The following is a 22,862-nucleotide window of genomic DNA, read 5'->3' as shown; positions in this document are numbered from 1 at the left end:
ACACAAACTGAAAGAATATTTTTATTACTTTATTTTACTCTTAACCAGTTACTAATTGGGTATCTGTGCCTATTGGGCACTGTACAACTACTCAAACCTTGGAATCAGATTGAACATTGTCATCTTCATTTCCTATTCTATGATTTTCATGTGATACTTGCTTATCTCAGCAAATGCCAAACCCAGCTCCACAAAGATATGATGTCATTGAAAGGAATGTAGTATGCTTTAACATTGGAATTCTGAATGACCTTGAACTAGTAGTTTGTGACGGTGTCCCACAAATATCAAATATTGTTGTTTCCTTTGGAAATTTAAAACATTGCATGATTCCCCTGTGAGTTCGCTAATACACCCTGGCAGGACAGTTTGAAAAGCTAAAAAACTGCACAGATCACAGACACTATCTAATTTGCTTGATGGAATACTCGAATGCCTTTATAGAAGTGGGTTAGAGACTGGGAGCCTGGTAAGATTATTGCAAGTACAGTAATGATGAGGATGCAAATTGCAACATAAGCAAAGGAGATGTGAGAGGGAGATTTGGGTACATTAATCTGTAGTTCTTGCTAACTAAATGGATATAAGGGAGTGAGGTATAGTAGCATAAGAAAGTGGTTGAGTCCTTTTTCCAACACGGCACAAGTGTAGTTAGTGATACTAGTAACCATAATGTTTTTAAATATTTGATAATCATATTTGAATCTAATTGGTTTCCCTTTTTATCCTCTATTTTATATCATGTATTAAACCCATTATTCTGAAAGGGTCCATTATTAGGCTTCATCAGAATGCCAATAAGTTAAATACACCTACTGGCCAATGGATATGCAAGTCTGAAAATCAGGGGATATGATAAATCTAATTAAAAAAACATAAATGTAGTTAAGTTTTACAGGTGTTTAACTTGTGCTGGAAGCTGTGGGTGTAGATAAAAGTTTTCAAGGAGAAATATAGAGTTTACGGTAAGAAGAGGCAAGGGTGGAAGCACAGAGAACAAAAACACAAGAGGTGAAAACAGAATGAGGCTCTAGGGTGGAAAAATTAACAAGAAGACAGGGAATTAGGAGAACCAACAGAGTGGTGTTACTGAGACAAAATGAAAAAAGCACTGGATAGGTAGAATTTGAGGAAAGATTAAAAAGTATGCATGAAATTTTGGTAACTAGGAATTTTTTGGTGACCTTAGAAAGTTCAGAAGATTAGTATGGATAGAAATAACAATTCTGTGATGAACAAGGAATGAAACTAATTCACAAGTATTGATTAGGTTTTCTAGAAATCTGGTTGTGAAAAAAAGTGCAGTAAAGGTGGAGATAGGTCCAAGGGGTCAAACTTTTTAAAATATGAGAGAGATTTGGTGATGTTTATACCTGTTACCTTGCCTTAGAGGCAGCCTTTTCTCTGAATGAAAACTCATGAATATTTAAAGAGAAGCTAGGAAGGGACAAGGCAATAGCGCAATTTGTGTATCCTCATCTGTTCTTCCCTGCACACCCAGCTTTTGCTGCTCCTTCCATTCCAGGGCTTTGCCTTTCATTGAAAGCCTGGTCACTCCCTAAAATAACATTTTATTATCTCTGACAAAGAGGAAAGTACCTGGAGCTTCCATGACCTTAAATACTAATAGAGTTATGGAGTGTTTACCATGTGCCAGGCACTGTTTTAGTCACTTTATACATATTAACTCATTTTTCTTGAAAAAAAATGCCAGTTGCATCAATGAAGAAATCGACTACTAAACTCAAACTTTCTCTTTCAATTAACTACATTGAAAACTGTGGTACACTGAAACATTGTAGACTTCAGTATCATAGACAGTACAGTTCAAATTTTGCTTCAGCTATCTGATCTTTTAGGACCTTTATAATTACTTTATCTATGTAGTAATAAAAATATCTACCTAGAATTGCTTAAGTAAGGATCAAATGAGATCTCAACCACAATGCTGAGGGCACAGTCCGGACTCAATAATGCCACAACTCTATGTCAATAAACAAAACAACAGCCATGATAGTAACAGAAAAAAATATATATATTTCAAAGGTAACTAGTTTTGTTTTACTCAAACTATTTACAACAAGGGGCAGAGTAGAGACATGAATAGCTGCACAAGTTATTTTAATTATAAATTAATAAAAGCCTACATTAAATTCATCTTATTAACTACTTATGAGAGTGTATAAAAACTGATGAAGCCAACATTATTTGGTACTTCTGATACTTCCATTCGCTTCAACTTTTCTTTCTAAATAGAAAATTAAAAGATGGCAAGCCATTTACAAAAAGACATGTAATTTTGTTAATCAGGTTGACATTTTGAACATCTTCCTCTTCAGTTCAGCTGTCTTCTCATCTATCTTAGCATAGGAGTCCTCTGCTGCCTTTTCAATACCGTCGTGGTATTTCTCCAAAGCAGTTTTCAAGTTTAGAAATATTTCCTAAGTAGAAAATGAAACAGAATAATAATTATTCCATGCAACAACCTAAACTACAAATGAGTTATAAGAATTCCAAGTTTATTCATATTTATTAATATTTTAAAGCCTAAATTCTTATGCACACACACAAATGTGCATGTCTATGTCTGCTTTAATTAAAAATTCATTCTGTAAGTTGTACAAACACATCAAAAAGTTTGCTACTTAAGGAACAAAGGAGCGACATGAGACAATGGTTAGGATTCTAATACAATAAGAACAAACATATTTATAATTATCAAGGAAAAATTTTACTTTAGAGCTTTCCATGTTAAACATGGAAAATAACTACATTACTGTGGATAACTATACTCTCTGCATTTGACCCTGATTATCATTTAAAAGGTATGCAAACATTTAATAAGTAATCTATAGGACTGAAGAATATATTAATACCTTGTAGAGTTGTTTGAATAAACTGATCAGATAGTTCAAGCCTATATGGATGTGCTAAGAATTTTAAAAAATAAAACAACAATTTTTATAGATTAAATAAGAAAAAAATTAGCGTGTACACATTTTCTTCTATTTCATACTTGTCAAATATAATATTGATCCTCCTTCCATTATTTACTTCTTTTAGACAAAACAATTCTTAAACTATAATATACATAATACCACAAGAAACTGGTATTTTACAAGGTTACAGGATGTGTTTTGCCACTGAAATAAAACAGTCATCTTTTTCCAGTGGGGGAAGAAAAGCAGTAAATGAATACAATGTTCTCAATTTTAAGTGTCTCTCCCACTAAATTTTTCTTAAGCCTAAAATTTTGGCTACTACTTACCTTAGTTTAAATTCTAGCAGAGATACGATCTGATTTTGAATAAATTACATAGATTATAATTTGATATAGTATAAATTCACAGTATTCCGAAAAAGAACCCTATTTCCAGCAACTCTGCCACCTATGCAAGTTTGAGAACTATTACTACAGATTAAGTGAATGTAAATATATGCTTAAGACTAAACATTCTCCAAAAATCCAAACATAGTTATTAAATCCTAACACAAAAATAGAAGAGTGTGTTTAGATTTCTGAGATCTAAGCAGGTATCAAATTACTACAACTATGATAGAATATGAACCAATAGGAAAATAAATCAAAATTTTTGAAGGCTTTATTTCTTAAATCTTGTAGGAAAAATAAGGTGAATTAGTTGCTAGCTTGTGTGAACGCCATTATAAAAAAACAGCACATTCAGCAGCTATAAATCAATTTAACTTTCTAGCTCTATAGGGGTATATGTTTATTCATTCCAAAAAAGAAAGCTGAATAAATTTGGTAGGAAGATATTCCTTATGAGAAACTATCAGAACTAAGTGTGACTAAATTAAGATATACAATCTGTATGTATCTGAACCAACCATTTCAAAATACCCAAAGGAATACTTTCCTTCCGAGAACAAGTAACACTCTCAAGGAGGAGCAAAATCCTGCTAGTAGAGCCACAAGTGAATGAAACATTAAGGCCCAATTCCAGTGGCACAGGCACAGAGACAAAAACATTTGAAGTTCTAAGCCAACCCTCACAAGATGTTTAATGGTGACAGATCGTATCCCTGACAAATACTATGTATTTTAGCATTTTCGATTAAATTCTACATCCAAGTGGAATTTTACTATATTAATCCACCCTAATTCACATATAATAAGTTTTACTGTGATGGCCTCGTTGAAGTTAAATATTTTTAAAGTCAAAGGCTAGTTCTGTACTGTCGAATACAGCAACCACTAGACACATGTGGCTACTATTTAAATTTAATAAAATTTAATTTAATCAAATGAAATTAAAAATTCAGTCCCTCAGTTGCACCAGCCACACATCAAGGACTCAATAGCCACATGTGCCTACTGGCTACAGTATTCAGCAATACAGAAGAACATTCTCATTACAGCAGAAAGTTCTGTTGGACAGTGTCAGTCTAGATAACTATCTCACTTTTCAAATCAGAAATATTTAAGACTATACACTATCCATGGAGTCTTACAGCCAGTGTAGCCATTTATCACATACGTATAAATTAGTCAACCAATATATTATTGGGTACTTTGTATAAGTAGCACTGTAAATAGTACAATAGTACAATGAAAGACACCAATTATGGTTTCTTTCCTAAATGAACATATAACCAGACCAGTTTGGATATCGAGCACCTGAAATATAGCTAGTGCAAATAAAGAACAAAATTTTTTATTTTATTTCACTGTAATTAATTTAAATGTAAATAGCCACATATTACTAATAGCTCCCCACTGGACAGCACACATCCAGATTATTTGGAATAGACTGAGAGTGCTATAGTATTTGAGAGAGAACAGAAAGATACTTCAAAGAAGTAAAAGAAAGTTATGTGGAAGACATAGTTTCTACTGGACCTTAAATAATGGAAATGATTAGCTTAGATAGAATATTTTTTTTTTTTTTGAGACGGAGTCTCGCTCTGTCGCCCAGGCTGGAGTGCAGTGGTGCAATCTCAGCTCGCTGCAAGCTCCGCCTCCCGGGTTCACGACATTCTCCAGCCTCAGCTTCCTGAGTAGCTGGGACTACAGGCGCCCGCCACCACGCCCGGCTAATTTTTTGTATTTTTAGTAGAGACGGGGTTTCACTGTGTTAGCCAGGACGGTCTCGATCTCCTGACCTCGTGATCCGCCTGCCTCGGCCTCCCAAAGTGCTGGGATTACAGGCGTGAGCCACCACACCCAGCCAGACAGAAAATTTTGAAAGTCCTAGAGGTGGAAATCATTCCTGCCTTGTTCACAACTTACTCTCTGAATCAAGTGTGAAGCCTGACACCTAGCAGATACATTGGCCATTTGTTGAAATACTGACTGGGTGAATGAATGAACTGAAGGAAAATGGCCCTTGTTTTAAACAAGAAAGTGTAGTATTGAGAATAATATTTTAGCAGGATAAATGTGGTAGTACTTAGTATTCAAGGCATATTTGATGCAGAAGAATCTAAAATCAAAGAAACTTAGCAAATGTTGCTGCAATCCATGACTACTACAAAATTATGTGACAGACGTATAATAATAAGAGCGCTGTATGTATGAAGGGCTATGTACATGTATGAAGAGTACCACCATGTAAAAGCAATCATGAAATTAACTTGGAGATTATCTGGATGTCAGAATTATCTAAAGCAAGTCCAAAATTTCAATGCTTTGTGATAGAAAATGATGATGCAATTGAGAAATACAAAGAAATTTATGAAGAAGTTGAGCAAAAGAGAGAAAAAGAAAAGGGAAAGAAAGTGAAGAAAAGGTCAGATGTGGGAAAATGTTGAATGTAATTTTAAAATATTATTTTTGTTGTGAGTGGACAGAACAAGAAACATAGATTTTTGAAAGCTATCCAAATGAAGATAATAATTGAAACTAGAAGAGATAAATTATCTATGGGAAAGAACATTTAATGAAAAAAGACTATGATGATCACAAAATGCAACAGAACTGCACAAAGAACAATTTGGCAATCATATCCTTTTTTCTTTTCATGAAGGATGATTATAAAGTAAGCTAAGAAGAGTTCTTTGACAAAAAGTATTTGATTTTACCAAAGTATTTAGAGACCTTCCCATTTGTGTAACAAATAGATATCACAACGTAGCCTGAATCAAGGTAGGTAAGAACAACTTAGCAAGTTGAAGAATTGTACCCAAAGTTTTGATCAATAGTTCTACGCCTCTAGGATGAAAAAATTATAATGCAGCAAAGGACCTTGTTCTAGTAAACATTTTTATTTTGAAGAAAAAGGCATGCTGATCAAATCTGCAGGTGACACTAAGCAATGAGAAATAGTTAAGGTGGAAGACAGAATGATAGATTTAAACTAACCTTGACATTTTGAAATCTAGGTTGAAATAAATAAAACCTAAAAAAGTAAAATTCTGAATTAAAAGTAACAGTTGTGCTAAAGTATGGTGAAAAACTCTTAACAAGGCAGAACTTTATGTGGAAAAGACAGGAGTCCTTTAACTGATCACAAGGTCAATATAAGTCAAGGGCAAGATGCTGCTGCTAAAAATCTACCCCAATATTATGCTTCACTAAAAATGTGTTTTGGGTCTGGCTGGTCACATCATTATTTTGGAAGACTGTGTTTAGCACTGGGTTGTAAATCTTAAGCAGAATAATGACAAATAGGAAACAGAGATGACAGTAAATAGGATAGTAATAAATCTGAAAATGAAGCTATATAAAGAATGGTGGAAAACTAGGACTAATTATCCTGAATATGAGAAGGCTGAAAGAAACCGTGATCATTATCCTCAAATGTCTGAAGGGTTATTAAGCAGAAAAGGGTACACATTTGCTCCACAGAGAAGATCTGGGCTGACTATAGAGTACAGAAATAAATATTTTAAACTCAAAATAAGAGACAGAATTTTAACAATTAAAGCTGCCCTAGTAGAACAGCTTGGGTGGCCATACCTATTGAAAACTCTATACCATTGAACACAATTAAGCCAAGCCTATTAGTGGGTCTCAAATGCCACATTAAAAAACACATTTCATGGGCCCCATTGCTGGAGATGCTAATCAATGTGTTTGGGTGAGGATTTGTTCATCTTAAAATTCCTCACTGAATTCGAATACACAGCTAGTTTTAAGAAGCACCATGCTAGATGACCTTTCAATTTTATAAATATTTATGGAAAACATACTACACATAAGGCACCATTCTAGGCATGGTTTGACATGATATGCTAAGGTTAACAATAGACAATTGCTACTGTTAAGAAATGGAAAATGTAACTGGCAAGACATATATGCATAAAACTCAAAGTAATATAAGGTAGGCATGGGTATCTCTTATGACTGATAGACAAAGGTGCCTCGAATTTGAGTTAGTAACTAGTTACTAAATTGTTAGTAACTGGTTCACTAACTGTTCCTAGACCATGTAGTAACACATAAATATTTATTGATTTGATTCGGTTAAGAAGCAGGATTAAATATCTGCTAAGTCTTTCTTTTTTTTTTTTTGAGACGGAGTCTTGCTCTGTCGCCCAGGCTGGAGTGCAGTGGTGCGATCTCAGCTCACTGCAAGCTCTGCCTCCCGGGTTCACGCCATTCTCCTGCCTCAGCCTCCCGAGTAGCTGGGACTACAGGCACCCACCACCACGCCTGGCTAATTTTTCTGTATTTTTAGTAGAGACGGGGTTTCACGGTGTTAGCCAGGATGGTCTCGATCTCCTGACCTCGTGATCCGCCCGCCTCGGCCTCCCAAAGTGCTGGGATTACAGGCATGAGCCACCGCGCCCAGCCAATATCTGCTAAGTCTTTCTAATTGCCATACTAGAGAGACTGACTCTTGGTGAATATCAAGTTAAGAGGCAGGAAAAATAAAAGTAGTTGAGGTATAGAAAAAAAAAAACAAAAAACAGAAAAGAGCAGGCCAGGTATTGGGAAGACCATGGACGTGAAATCCCAACCATTTTATTTCTTTTCCTTCCAGTTTCCCTCTTCCTTTCCTCACTCCACTACCTTTCCTTTCCTTCCTTTTAAAGTAGCCTTAAGATAATGCTCACATGTGCAAGTGCTAACAACATAATCTTTCTGGGGGATAAGGTACTGAGAACAGATAAGGGAATTGTCTACTGTGGCTCTGTTAGTATTAAGAATTTTTACAAATTGGGTGTGGATGACGGAAAGTAATGGCAGCAAATGTTTAACTATTTATCAGGTATCAGCGGTTTTAGAAACCTCAATCTAAGTTGTCAATGTAAACAAGGTGAAGAATGAAAAAAAAAGAGGCTAAGGGATTTTGCATAATAAATAGCAATTTTTTGTGATTTCTGGCAGAGCAGTTTGAACTATTGTTCTGGTAGAACACTCTTGAAGACATAAATCAAACTTCAAAAGATAAGGAGACAATAAATATTTAATAAATATATTAGGAATATACTACTTGTTAGAGACATTGGCAGTTAAAAGAATAGAAACAGGTAAACATTTTATGTTTAGCACTGTACTAGCATTTTTAAAGATAAAAATGTAGGAGACAAGATGCCTGTTCTCATTAAACTTAGGACTATTTATGAAGCTTTACAGTAAATATATTCAAAACAAGAATAAAGAGTAAATAATTTTAGGTATCATTAAAAGTCTCATTACACAGAGACCAAGTAAGCTGTTTTGTTTCAGTTAACAACTCAAATACATGAGAGATTATTTGAAATTAACTTCTTATGAACACATATTCACCTGGGACTTCAGTTTCTCCCTTTCAGCAGCATCTTTTAGTTGTTGAATTCCAAGTTTAATTTTTTGGATTTCTTGATTAATTGTGGTTACTCGTTCATAGACAGCACCTCTTTTTTCTTGAACTTTATTGCAATCCCTGAAAGAAAATCGAGACAGCTAATATTTAATCCTCTTCAGCAACTAAAAAGGCAAACACAATTCTAGTTTTGATTCCAAAGTGACCATGTGTCAGTATTTGACAAACCTAAAACTCTTCTCAAGATATAAAAGCAAAGGAATGAAAACCCCAAAGTGTGGTACTATAATCACATCACAACATAGTGTGAACTCTTTCTCTCAATATATTAATGAGATTTTTTTTCCCTCATTGGTGGGTTAGTGAATGAGTAAATCAATCAATCAATCAATATTTAAAATGAAGATTTTTTAAGTTACATTTCCCCAGTTGTACACACTTAGGTACTGTTGGTGGGAATGTGAATCAGTTTAACTTTTCTACAAGGCAGTTTGGCAACAAACATAAAATCCTTAAGTTCTGCCCTTTTTCATCTGCAAGAGGAAGTATGAAGGAAATACTCAGATGATCTCTGACGCACCTTTTAGTAACTGAAGGAATGAGATTATAGACATATCTGGGGCAGGTATTTTAAAAACACATTCTTAGAACTGATGGGTATTTTACCAATAAAGTACCCTAACGTACCAGCTAAAAACATACTTACATACTTAGGAAAGTATTACTTCTTACCTGAATATATGACTTTTTCTCAAAACACAAATGCTGTAACTCTACAGACAAGCTGGACTATAAGATAGGCCATTTAGTTAATTCTGATGCAAGCTAGACCACTATCTCTAAAGTGCAATGAAATAATCAGTAGCATCAGAACCCTTCTGAAGAATGATGCAAAGGAATTGGAACTGTATACCCAGGAAAAGAGTAGCTAAGACATCTCTAAATCTAGAACTAGCAGTATAAGTTTTATAATTAACTCATCTGTTTTAGTCAACTAAAGGTGAAATAAAGATAAAGCTGTTTAAACTCTTTTGGAAAATACCGAGGTTTTGAAATCCTGGGGGAAAAATGTATTTGTTTTTCATAATTGCTTTCTAATACACTAAAATTGAAAACAACTCCATACTCAATTACTGTGCGTTTGTATTGCTTAACATCTTCATGCTTCTTATTTATTTTGAATTGTGCTGTGGCAAGTTTTTCCTTCTTCACAATCATCAGTCTTTTGAACGAATTTTCTTCAGTCTTCAATTTCTTCAGTTCTGACTCATCACTCTCAATTTGGTCCTCCAAGTTCAGGCTCTGTATTTTATAAGAAGTATTTAAAGTCAACATAACCAATTAGGATTTAGAAATAAAATGAAAGAATATTTTCTAGGATGAACTATAATTAAACACAAATTTAAAAAGAGACAAAACTCTTTAAAACCTGAAAGTCCGGCAGAAAAATGCAGATGAACCAGAAGAGACAACAAGGAGGCATCAGAGATACTGAGAAAGGACATGACAACTAGAGAGGTGTTTTCTATCAGTACAGACTGAAAGGGAGACATGTTAAGATTAGCTAAGAGACTAGAGTTGAGGGGTTAGGATCTGAACTAAAGTAGTACAAATAAAGGGAAAAGGGTAGGTGCTAGAAACAATTCAAAGCAGTAGATACACATCTTTTTTGGGTAACACAATGGCAGATGAGGGGACTATGTAGTTGGGAAAGAATACCTGGGGCAATCTCACCTTCTAATCCCTACTTATCTCAAAAAAGAAATTGTTTATCAAATGTAATGTTAGTTATCCTGGAGGCGCAGCCTGGATGAAGATGATCAAGTTAAGAAGCAAAAAAGGATTTTCAAGCTTGTAGCCTGAGAAACCGCCCTTAGCTCTCATTTCTTCAGGGCAGACTATGTAATAAACTTTAAATCTCTCTATAGGTCCTAGATACAGTGTTGGGCACTAAGTTGGAACTTTCTGATGCTAAGATCATTTCCAACTGGTAGAACAAATTTAAAATCCCATGACAGTAGTTCCCCTTATCCATGGCTTCACTTTCCATGGTTACAGTTACCCCTGGTCAACTGTGGTCTAAAAATATTAAATGGAAAGTATCAGAAATAAAAAATTCATCAGTTTTAAATTGTGTGCTGTTCTAAGTAGTGTGATTAAATCTTGCGCCATCCTACTCCATTCCACCCTGGATGTTTGTGTGTGTGTGTGTGCTTTTCAGATGGGGCTTCACTCTGTCACTCAGACTGGAAGTGTGGCGGCATGATCATAGCTCACTGCAGTCTTGACTCAAGTGATCCTCCCACCTCAGACTCCCAAGTGGCTGGGACTACAGACATACACCATTATAGCTGGCTAATTTTTAAAATTTTCTGTAGAGATAGCATCTTGCTATGTTGTTCAAGCTGGTCTCCAACTCTTGGTCTCAATGGTCCTCCCGCCTCAGCCTTCCGAAGTGCTGGTATTACAGGCTTGAGCCACCATGCCCAGCCCTGACCCTGGAAGTGAATCATCCCTTTGCCCAGCAGATTCATGCTGTATACACCACTTGCTCTTTAGTCATCAACATCCAACTGTCGACATCATAGTGCCTTGAGGATCTAGGATCACCTGAAGCAGATGATCCTTACTCTGATGTATGGTCAGAAGATTAACAGTAGCCTAGCAATATCTCACTTCAATTTTTTATGTAGGCATTTTATCATCTCACATCATTGTACTAAACTTATTGATTTTAGTACAATAAGATATTTTGAGAGAGAGACCACATTCACATAACTTTTATTACAGTATATTGCTATAAATGTTCTTTTATTAGTAATTATTGTTAATCTCTTACTGTGCCTAAGTTTTAAATTAAACTTTATCATAGGTATGTACATAAAGGAAAAAACATATATATATATATAAGGTTTGTTACTATCCACAGTTTCAGGCATCCCCTGGAGGTCCTGAAATGAATCTCCTAAGGATAAGGGGGAGCTACTGTACTATTTTCCAAAATATACACAGCAATGTGATGGGTTAGTTATTATTAATTTCATCAGAAGGTTAAAAATTGGGTCTTGCTACTGCTATGTTTAAAAAGAAAAGTGTCTTTTTCATAGCATACATTGCCACATCTATTATACTGTAGAATGACCCTGTTTTTCTTTAGGAAAACATAACAAAAAGTGAAAGCAAAATACAAGGAACTATAGTAAGCTGTTATATAATAAAGACATCAAAATTCCATACAATACAAACCTCCTTTAAGATACTGGCTAATTTTTCCCTATTATCTGAAAGGTCCTGTATTTTCTTTTGATATAACTGCACTTCCAACTGACATGAAGGCAGGCAGTCAACTGAGTCTCCATAGATTTCATATTTCTCCACCACTTCTTGCTTTGAAAGACAAAAAACAGAGACCACAGTTTGATATTCTTCTTTATGAAGCTGCAGTAATATCAATTTGTTTGCTCTTAAATAATTTCCACATTTAATACTGAAACCTTAAGAGCACGGAACAATTAAATTTCTAGGTCAGTAATACAGCACTATTACTGACATGTGTTTAAGCACAAATAATTGTTTTTTAATTGCCAAGTATCTTCAAACAAAGGAAAAGTGCCATAATTTTACTACTCAATGAAATACCTTCCAAAAGTTAATAATGATGATATTAAAATAGTTTATTTTGCTAATACTCAAACTATTTCTGATTACTCCTGGGCAATCAATCGTATTACTCATTTATAATCTTCCCATTCATTTGTATAATAACGACTACTATAGCTAATTCTTTTAAAAACATTAACTCATCTTCTAAAATTACAAAATGAACATATATTTACTACAACCATGGTAACAATACAAAGATTCCTTCCCTTGTCCTCACTAGCCTACCCCTTGTTCTACCTTATTTTTTTCTTTTTCTTACTAATTTGTAAAATACTCTTTGCAAATCATGGATATAATCCCTCTACCTGTCATATGCACCGTAATTATGTTCTAATGTGTCTACTTTTCTCTATAGATTTTCTGTTTCCAATCTTAATTTCAAAAATCTATCTCAGTCCAAGATTATATAAGTGTTCTCCTAAAATCTGTAAAACTTAAATTTTTTAAGGTAAATTTTCAATACATACAAAATTTATTTTTGTAAAAGAGCAAAGTGTAGACCCAACACCCTTTTCTTCCAGATGAATAGCTAATTGAGCCAGAACTGTTTCTTAAATAAATCATCCTTTTCTCATTAATACTCAAATCTATTTCTGGGTTCTCATTTCTGTTCTGGTGATCTTTGTCTAGTCTAGTGTGGTAATCTTAATTGTCAAGAATGAACTGAATAACAAATTCAAACACAAACCACATATGTTTTTTAAATTAATAGTTTAAAAACATTGCTTCACAAAAGATGGTAAATTGTCTACCCACTTCTAAGTTTGTATTGCACCACGTCAATCCATCTCCCACAGTAACCCATAATCTTGAACACACCTTACTCCCCACTACCCCACAGAATTCACATACGCTGTTCCCTCTGCCTTTAATATTCTTCCATACACAATGAATTGGGCCTTGGTACTGCTATGTTTAAAATGAAAAGCGTCTTTTTTTTTATGCTACGATCTGAAGAATGGTAGCATTCTTCCTTCCCTCTTCCACCTGTACTTCCAGCCCAATACTAAACTGGGCTCCCCTTATTACATTATTTCAAAGCACTCTATACTTTCTTTCCTCTTTCTGATACCATTAATAGATTTTAATTTTTCAAGCAGTTAGACATTCACAGCAAAATTAATCAGAAGGTACAGAGATTTCTCGTATACCCCTACCTACACACATGCATACCTTATACTTTGTTATAGTATATATTGTAATTTATAATTACAATTGTTTGTAAAATTACTTAATACTTTCCTCCCTTGTAATAAAGTAATTAAATCTCACCACCCAGCATTTCTGTTTTGATCTCCCAGAGAAAAGCCTCGAAAAATTGTTGCATAATTGAACAAATGTCTTGAAATTATATTTATTTTCCCCATATTCACTCTAGAGAAAAGCTACAGATTAGAAATAAGGTCAAAAAAGTTTAAGAGGAAGAGAAGTATAGATAATTCAGAAATCCAAAAATTAACACATAATTAAACAAGAATTTGCTAATTTTTTTTTTTAGATACAAAAGCATTAAAATAAAAAGAAAACTCACTCTGGCATTTTTAAGCTTCTGGACCGTATCTTTCATTTTTTCTTTATAATTCTTTAACTTCTCTGGAGAATCCACAATTTTTGTTTTCAAACTCTCTTGTATTTCTTTCAAAGAAACCACCGACAATTTTAGTTCATTCTGTTGAGAAAACATTTTTATATATTAGATATAATAAACTTGGTGATTTACCATTCTAGTAATGGGAAAGAACAAAGAAATTAGGTCCATGTTCTCTGTAATGAGGGTAAAATTAAATTCTGAACACATCACTTACCTACTTAATTGCTCACATTTGTCTATAGGCCAAAGATCAAGCTCCTTAGCAGGACATTCAAAGCCTTTCATTACATGGCTCTTAACTCTCTTCCTGTCTAGTCTCATCTCCCACCAGTTCCCTACTGCACCCTACAATCTGGTAATTCTGATCTTATGTTTAGACAAGTATAAGTGATCTTTCTTTGACCAGTAGGGTCCTCCTAGAATATCATTATCCCACTCCGGTCTGCCTGCTAAATTTGTACTGATCCCTGAAAATCCTGCTCCCATTTTCTCTACATTTCTTCTTTAAATAGTACAATTTTTGTACATGCAACACTATAATTATGTACTTAATATGTGTTTCATAAGACTGAGCAAATTGGAGTTGTGAAAATGTATCCTGGTTTTCCCAGTACCCAAACAAAGCTATAGCACTGAGAAGGTGCTCACTACATGCTTGCTGAATGAAAACAAATTCCCTTCTCCTGAATTTCAAAAATGAATGTAACTATTTGAAGAATCAAAGTGAAGGGTAGCTGGAAATTCTCTTGAAAGTTTGTTGTAAGTCTGAAATTATGTCAAAAAAAATTCCTATGAATTTTCTTCTCAGATATTTGTTGATAAGTTGTATTTACATTGTTTGGGGACCCTCTATGACTCTATGTATTGACAGGAAAGATTTTCCAGATATATTAAGTGAAAGAACCAATTCACAGATCAACATATAACACATAAATACATTTCTATAAAAACAGAACAACAAAACAGTGACACATGATTATGTGCCTCTATATGTGTATGCATATGATGTTGGAAAAAGGAAGGGAATAGTATTACCTCAAGGTAAAATGGGCTGAGAGAAGGCCTTTCACATTTCGTACCCTTCTCTGTCTCTCTCTATATGTGTGTATACTCCCCTCTCTCTATATACATACATATATATATATGTATGTGTGGGTGTGTGTATGTAAAGAGAGAATATTTCATAACAGGAATGTATTACTGTGTTGTGTAATTTGTCTAAATATTTTTAACTTAAAAGAAAAGATTCTTACTTTTTGATCAGCTAACTCAGACGCCAAAACTGAATGTTAGATATAATGCATTCCTGTAATTTCTGTATATTTTGTTATTTCATTCTTAGAGTTCTGCAAACCACCACATTATCTACTCTTTTAATGCTCTACAAGATTAGAGGTTATTTTCCTTACAATAGTGTTAACTTTCATCACTTTTCTCCTCTTTATAAAAGGTCTAAACTTAATAAGTACAAAGTGCTTGTTTTAACTTGGATTTAAATGAGACAGAAATAAATAAACAATAAAATTGAGCCATAGTAAGTACTACTCAGATGAAAGCATTTCCCAGCAAAAAAAAAGATAGAAAAATAAGGGAAATATAACACCAGAGTAAGTTTCTCAAGGATCTAAAGTATACATTTTAAAACAATAAGGAAACTATAAAAGTACAATGAGAAAATATAGTATTAAAAAATAATCTGACGAATAGGACCGTCCTTTCTATGTACACAATTAAAGCCAAAAACCATAAAGGCCGTATCTATAAATTTTACTACATAAAAACATAAACCTTTTAATGGGCAAAAAATATATAAATTTGACAGACAAATAAATGGAGAGCTAAAATCCCTAATTCATGGAGTTTCTTGAAAAATAAATAAGTGGCCGGGTGCGGTGGCTCACACCTGTAATCCTGGCACTTTCAGAGGCCGAGGTGGGCAGGTCCCCTGAGGTCAGGAGTTCAAAACCAGCCTGGCCAACATGGTAAAACCCCATCTCTACTAAAAATACAAAAAAATTAGCCGGGAGTGGTGGTGGATGCCTGTAATCCCAGCTACTTGGGAGGCTGAGGCAAGAGAATCCCTTGAACCCGGGAGGCAGAGGTTGCAGTGAGCTGACATCATGCCACACTGCACTCCAACCTGGGCAAAAGAGTGAGACTCCATCTCAAAAAATAAATAAATAAATAAAATAAATAAACAAGGTACACAAACAATATACAAAATAAGAAATAACAAGAAATCACTAAGCAAGATGGACAAAATCACTAGAATTAAAGCAATTAAACTAAAATGAGATTTTTTTGGCCTGGTGTGGTCGCTCATGCCTGTAATCCCAGCACTTTGAGAGGCCAAGGCGGGTGGATCACGAGGTGAAGAGTTTGAGACCAGCTTGCATAATATGGTAAAACCCCGCCTCTACTAAAAACACAAAAATTAGCTGGGTGTGGCGGCACAAGCCTGTAGTCCCAGCTGGTCAGGAGGCTGAGGCAGAAGAATCGCTCGAACCCAGGAGGTGGAGGTTGCAGTGAGCCAAGATCGCGCCACTGCACTCCAGCCTGGGTGACAGAGTGAGACTCTGTCTCAAAAAAACTAAAAAATAAAATAAGTACAAATAAAATGAGATTTTTTTTTCAATGTAACAGTAACAAAGATTTTAAAAGCCTGAAAACATCCAGTTTTGGCAAGGGTATAGGGAAAGGGACAGTCTCTTGTTCTACTGGTAGGAATATAAATTGGTATCTTTCTAGAAATCAGCTTGGCTGCATTGGTCAATTTTACATGTGTATTTCCTATGACCCAGAAATCCTAAACAAAAAAATTTATTTTAAATAAAAGCAGCCTGTTGCAGAAATGTATGTATGTACATATGTATGCATATGATACACACATACATATATTTCTGTTTAATAGCAAAAAATTAGAATCTATGTAAAAGTCTATCAGAAGGGGATTAAAAGGATCTACAAGACAGCACATACATATAATGCTCAACTAGATGCAAGCATTAATATAATGAGGATCTATTTAAAATTCATAACTGTATTATATCGCTAAGTGGAGAAAAAAGCAGGTAAGATGTATTGAGCCTAATATCATTTATGTAAAATTACACATGCATATTTACATTTGCATAGCAAATACAATCTTTGATATAAATCAGATTGTATAGTGAGCTTTCAGGTGATGTTTACTTTCTTCATACATTTCTGTGTTTCGATATTTTTTAAAACAATAGTCATCTATTATATTTAAGTTGAAAAAGATTGTTTCATTTTGAAGGGAAAAAGGGAGAAACATTTGCCCATAATAACACACACAGCTAAAATACTCCTCCACACAATATATTCAAACTTTAAATGCTAGTGAAAAGAAAAGATGTTTACCAAACGCTTGGTTTTCTCTGAAATATTTGACTTCTTTTGGGAATTTCCCTCTTGCAGCACTATCTAAGGGAAAAAGCAAACACGTTTTATAATGATTCAAAACATTTAGATTTAGCCACTCACTGCTGTCTCATAAAATTAAGGTAAGAAAGGAGTTAAATGTGTTAGATCAGATATTCTTCAAACTTTCTCTGTTCATGATGCTCCTAAGCCAAAAGAAATATCTAAGAGTTCCTTTACTAAGTAGTTAACTCCAAATAATGGCCTAGTATTTATGTCCTAACATTGTAGCCCTTTGAAAAATAATACATATAAGTTGAAAGAAAAAATTTTTATTTTGTTCTTAAATAACCTCGAGTACTTCCTAATTAGATGTATGTACCTATTGGGCACTGCATAAATTCACGTACGTTGGAGCGTATATTTCAGATTGGATATAGACATTCTCATTTCCTGTGTCACAGTGATTTTTACATTGTACTTGCTTTTATCACAGCAAATACCAAAATCCCAGCTGCACAAGGATATGAAAGGAATGTGACCAAAAACTGAAACTGTGAACTACCTTGAATTCAAAAAGGATATGACAGATGCTGAGTACTACAGTGGTTCCCTTGAAAATTTAAGATATTTTGAGGCATTCTTGAGGGTTTACTGCAGTATCCAGGGTGCCACAGTGCATGGTTTGGAAGCAGTGAAATTAAACCTAGGAAAACCCTAAAAAATTCTATTCAATAAGACAACAAAAAACTTTGCCAACAAAAACCATCACGGTTCTAGATGGTTGAGAGAAGTATGTATCCATTATAAGGGGCACAAATGGGCACAGAAATATATTCTGTTTCTTTGGTAATAGAGAAAGCAATGTGCTGTTACCTCCACTATATGTCCCACCACATCTACAAACAAATTTTGTTTTTTAAAGTTTAAGGTGCCTCACAACAGATACCGTTTTTTGATGAAAATCCTGATTTAGTGATTGTTGTAGCTCCTGAATTCCATCTGAAAGCTGCTTGAACTCTTCTTGCTCTTCAACTGGAACAGAACTTAACACAGCAAAATAGATTAAAATACTGCTCTTCACTTTTGAAAGGCTAAAATGAAATACCTGTCCTCAAATAACTGAGATGAAGAAATTGTCTACTTTTATGTTTCTGAATTACACCCTTTCATGTGGCAATCATTTAAAATGAATGATCTGGCCTCTACTACAGGCAGAAAATAAAAATCACATGAGCTCCTTCAGTTTTCTACTATCAAATCTATGGATCCATCCACACACATACCTATCCTTTCTAACTTCACTCCTAATAACATGAATATTGTATGCCTTCTGGTAATGCTGATTTCTCTACCTCTGCACTGGCTATCATTGCCTCACAACTCTTACTCCCATACCATCCATTCTTCCGCTACTAGTCCTTCCTTACAACACTTACACGTGTTCAAGTCTCTTCTATAAGAACGTTTTCAAATTTAGTTTTTGCCTATCTGATATATTAGCTATTTTTATATAAACTCCCTGTTTAAAGCCTTTGTCTATTTTTTTAAAGTTATCATTTTTCCTGTCAGTTTACAGGACTGCTTTGTAGTTCTGCATATTATATTTGTATATTAGGAATATTACATGGGTTTTGTTATTAGAGTTGGTAAGGCTTTGTGGCATGTGCTGCAAATATTCTCTCCACTTTGTCATTCTTGTTTTGATTTAGTTGGTGGCATCTTTTACCCTGTTATATTCTAATGTCTGCCTGTAAAGGCAATTTTAACCAGGGGCAGGTTAGAAAATCTCTCATCTAAAACAGATAACCTCAAAGACATCTATAAATTAGAAGAGATTTTAAAAATCCTGCTCAAAATCAATATATATATATAAGGAAGGCCAAGAAATCACAACTGTTGAGTGATTCTTTTCCCTACATAACCTATAAGTCAAAAACAAAACAAATAAATGAAAACTTTGTTGTAGGAGTAAACATTTGATGGAATCAACTGATCTGAAGGAAGATAGTCCAGGCAGTTACTGCTCACCTACATAAGACAATATTCCAGACATAAATCAGGACAGTAAGCTAATGGCTTTAAACAAATCAGGCTAACACACTAACAACAACAACAACAAAAGCCAAAGGATGTATTATATAATTAAGAGTTAGAAGAAAAACTAGTTTTTTCTTTTTTTTTTTTTTAAGAAAAGGCAAACTCAAATACTCTGCTATTTATTAAGGGAGATAAAAGAGACTTAAGGTGGAATATAGGGTTGTAAAATACTACTTACAATTCATTTTGCATTTTGAAATTGCATTTATTTTACTTGTAAATCTCCCACTTACTCAAGTCTCTCCAGTTTCATTAATGCCTCCTGGTGTGCGGCGTTTAACTGTTGCATTTTGTCCGCAGAGGATTTCTATTAAAGCAATTTTAATCATCTCATATTAGTGCATTTCAACACAATCAGTGTGTCCAAAATGTTTACTCATACTATAGTTTGAACCATCAGAAATAAAAAATTTAAGATAGAGTTAGGCCTTCATGACAAATGAATTAGGAATTTCTTTACTCAACACAAATGCTGGATTCTCATCATAGGCACTGAGCTCGGTACTGAGAATTCTCAAGAAGACTAACTTATAGGTCTTGACCTTAAGTAGCTAAGCCTCCTTGAGGAGCCAGATACAAGAATAAAAACCCACAAAATAGCTTGTTATTTTTCATATAATGGGAACCAACAAGAGTGACATCTAACCCAACTTGGGTAATGGCTGGGAAGAAGGGTGATAGGACATCATAGAGGTGATAGATGTCTGAGGTGTGTCTTAAAGATAGTAATTAACCAAGCAAAATTATGAGAGTGTGTGTATGTTGGCACATGAATGTGGTAAGCTTTGAAGATTATATGATGTTTAGGAGTTATAAGGTTAGCATGATTTGTGCAAAGAAGTACGGATCTATATAGCTCAGTAAAGCTGAAGCCTAGGGTCTAAGTGTTTGGAGTTACTCTGGTGTTTTTCTAAGAGTATGGTACCCCATTATTGAAGACAAATGGGAAAAATCACACAGATGACCCATAATCTCCCCCAGTTCTTTAAGTTGTTGATGAAAGGAAAATGAGTTTCTGTCTGTTAAAGAGATTGCCTTGGACTGAATCTGGGCAAGCATGATAAACACCACCACAAACAGTCCAATTATGCCATTATTTAAAAGGCAAATATAAACCTCAAATATGTCCGTTATTTAATAAAAGCTACACTATCTACGCAAACTTCAAAGAAAAAAATGTAAACATATCAATATTCTCTAACATTTCCTAATATAGGAAAACAAGCCTCAGCTACAAGATTTTAAAACAAACAGAACTCAGCCTCTCCATAGTGTTACCAAATTTCAAAGAAAATCTGATTCTGAGATATGCTATCCAGTAACTAAAATCTGCAAGTTAATATAAATATAAAAATGAGTTCAATTCTAAAGGCAATACAGCAATTTGCTGTCTATGACAATCATTTCAAAACAGATTATAAGTTCATAAATAATGTTACTGATCTGGCATGTAACCCCAAAACATATTTAAATCTTACATATTGCCAAAGAAATTCCATATACGTTTCACGGCATGCTTCTCTGAAGTGAATAAAGTTGATAATGCCACTTAAAAACCGACTTGTCCGTTTTGCTTCTAAAATAGAAAGCAAGACTCTTTAAATAAACCTTTGAACTAACATAATATGAAAATGAAAATTCATCCTCTTCCACTATATATTCTGCTCATAATATATAAAATAAAACTGTATAGGATATAACAAAGTGTAGAAAATCTGCTCTAACTTAAAGGTAAAAATTATCTTTGTATTAATAACTTTAAAAAAAAAGGTAAACCACTTTTGGTCATGAAGAAATAACAGAAACCAGAATTACCCTCCCATATTAAAAAACTAGAAAAACAAAAATACATGAAGCAACAAATTTTAGATGCTGGATAAAAGGCAATATAGGACAGCAATCTCCAAGAGAAACAAATGAGGTGAATTCCATTACTGCACCAGTCCATGACTGAAGAGTTTACAGGCTGTACTCCAGAGAAAGAGAACACAAATAAAACTTGTACATCTTGCTGGGTCAAGAAGACAGAGTTTAGAGTTTGCAGAAGCCAAAGCAACTAGGATTTATGGAACTGAGTATTAAGATGAGGAAGCTGTAAAGAGAAAGAGTTCTGGAAATCTGTAGAGGAATCCCCTCAGGTTCTCAGTTAACCAACAAGGTAAAATTCACAATGTCTGGCATCTGCTAAAAATAACCAGACATGCCAAGAAAAAGGACATGATCCATAATAAGAAAATACAATCAATCAACAGAAACATATTAAAACATAACACAAATAACATACATGGTAGATTTAGTAGATAAGAATGTGAAAACAACCTTTATAAATAAATAAAGGGGATAGAGAAAAGAATCAGCAATATGAAGAAATAAAAGCAAAGATTTTTTAAAAAAGATCTGAATTAAGCTTTTAGAGTTGAAAAATACCTGAAATAAAAATTACACTGATGGGAATAACAGTAGTTCAGACCTAAAATAAAAAGGATTCATGAAGTTGAAGACATAATAGAAGTTATCTAAAATAAAGTCCAGAGAGAAAAAAATGAATACAATATCTGTGAGCTGAGAGACAATATCAAACAGCATAACTAATGTGTAATTGGAATCCTACAAAAAGGGACAAAAAGACTTTTACAGAATAGTTGAATATTTTCCAAATTGTATAAAAACAATAACCATATCCAAGAAAGTGAACAAACGTAAATGGCGGGCAGGGGTGTAGGGGGAGGGAAGAAAGAACAGAAAAACAAACAAAAAAAAACCAAAAACAAACACCTAAAAGTCACATTATATTCAAACGGCTAACAACTAGCTTAGAAGACAAAAAAATCTTAGAAGCAGCCAGAGGAAAACAAAACACATTATATAGAGAGAAACAAAGATAAGAAAAGCAATAGACTTCTCATCAGAAACAATGTAAGCCAGAAGACAATGGAGCAATATATTTAAAGCACTGAAAAAACTGTCAACTAAGAATTCTATACTGTAGTCCCTCAGTATCTGCTAGATATTGGTTCCAAGATGCCTAGAGAACCCAAGTCTGTGGATGCACCAGTCCCTTACACCTGGCATAGTGGCTGGGTGTGGTGGCTCACACCTGTAATCCTAGCACTTTGGGAGGCCGAGGTGGGCGGATCACAAGGTCAAGAGATTGAGACCATCCTGGCCAACATGATGAAACCCCTTCTCTACTAAAAATACAAAAATTAGCTGGGTGTGGTTACATGCACCTGTAGTCCCAGCTACTCAGGAGGCTGAGGCAGGAGAATCACTTGAACCTGGGAGGCGGAGGTTGCAGTAAGCCGAGACTGTGCCACTGCACTCCAGCCTGGTGACAGAGCGAGACTCCATCTCAAAAACAAAAACAAAAAAAACAAAACAAGACAAACACACAAAAAATGGCATAGTACAGT

General features: G+C 34.4%; 1 protein-coding gene across 5 annotated transcripts in view; it reads right to left on the bottom strand.

Annotated features, from left to right (window-relative positions):
• Positions 1-2,016: 2,016 nt before the first annotated feature.
• NUF2 (NUF2 component of NDC80 kinetochore complex) overlaps positions 2,017-22,862 on the bottom strand; it is a 33,806-nt gene continuing 12,960 nt past the window's right edge. For all 5 annotated transcript variants that reach the window (XM_024450112.2, NM_145697.3, XM_024450113.2 and 2 more), the window contains 9 exons: positions 20,928-21,025; positions 19,683-19,756; positions 18,299-18,395; positions 17,350-17,412; positions 13,906-14,043; positions 11,958-12,098; positions 9,838-10,013; positions 8,696-8,831; positions 2,017-2,441 (listed from right to left, as the gene is read on the bottom strand). In XM_024450112.2, coding sequence (XP_024305880.1) covers positions 2,307-2,441; positions 8,696-8,831; positions 9,838-10,013; positions 11,958-12,098; positions 13,906-14,043; positions 17,350-17,412; positions 18,299-18,395; positions 19,683-19,756; positions 20,928-21,025 — 1,058 coding nt within the window. In that variant the 3' untranslated portion in view covers positions 2,017-2,306. The remainder of the gene's footprint in view (positions 2,442-8,695; positions 8,832-9,837; positions 10,014-11,957; positions 12,099-13,905; positions 14,044-17,349; positions 17,413-18,298; positions 18,396-19,682; positions 19,757-20,927; positions 21,026-22,862) is intronic.

The sequence above is a fragment of the Homo sapiens genome, chromosome 1 (assembly GCF_000001405.40).
Source record: "Homo sapiens chromosome 1, GRCh38.p14 Primary Assembly".
NCBI classification, from domain to species: Eukaryota; Metazoa; Chordata; class Mammalia; order Primates; family Hominidae; genus Homo; species Homo sapiens.
Note: the sequence above shows the minus strand (reverse complement) of the source record. Positions and strands in the feature narration are given on the sequence as shown.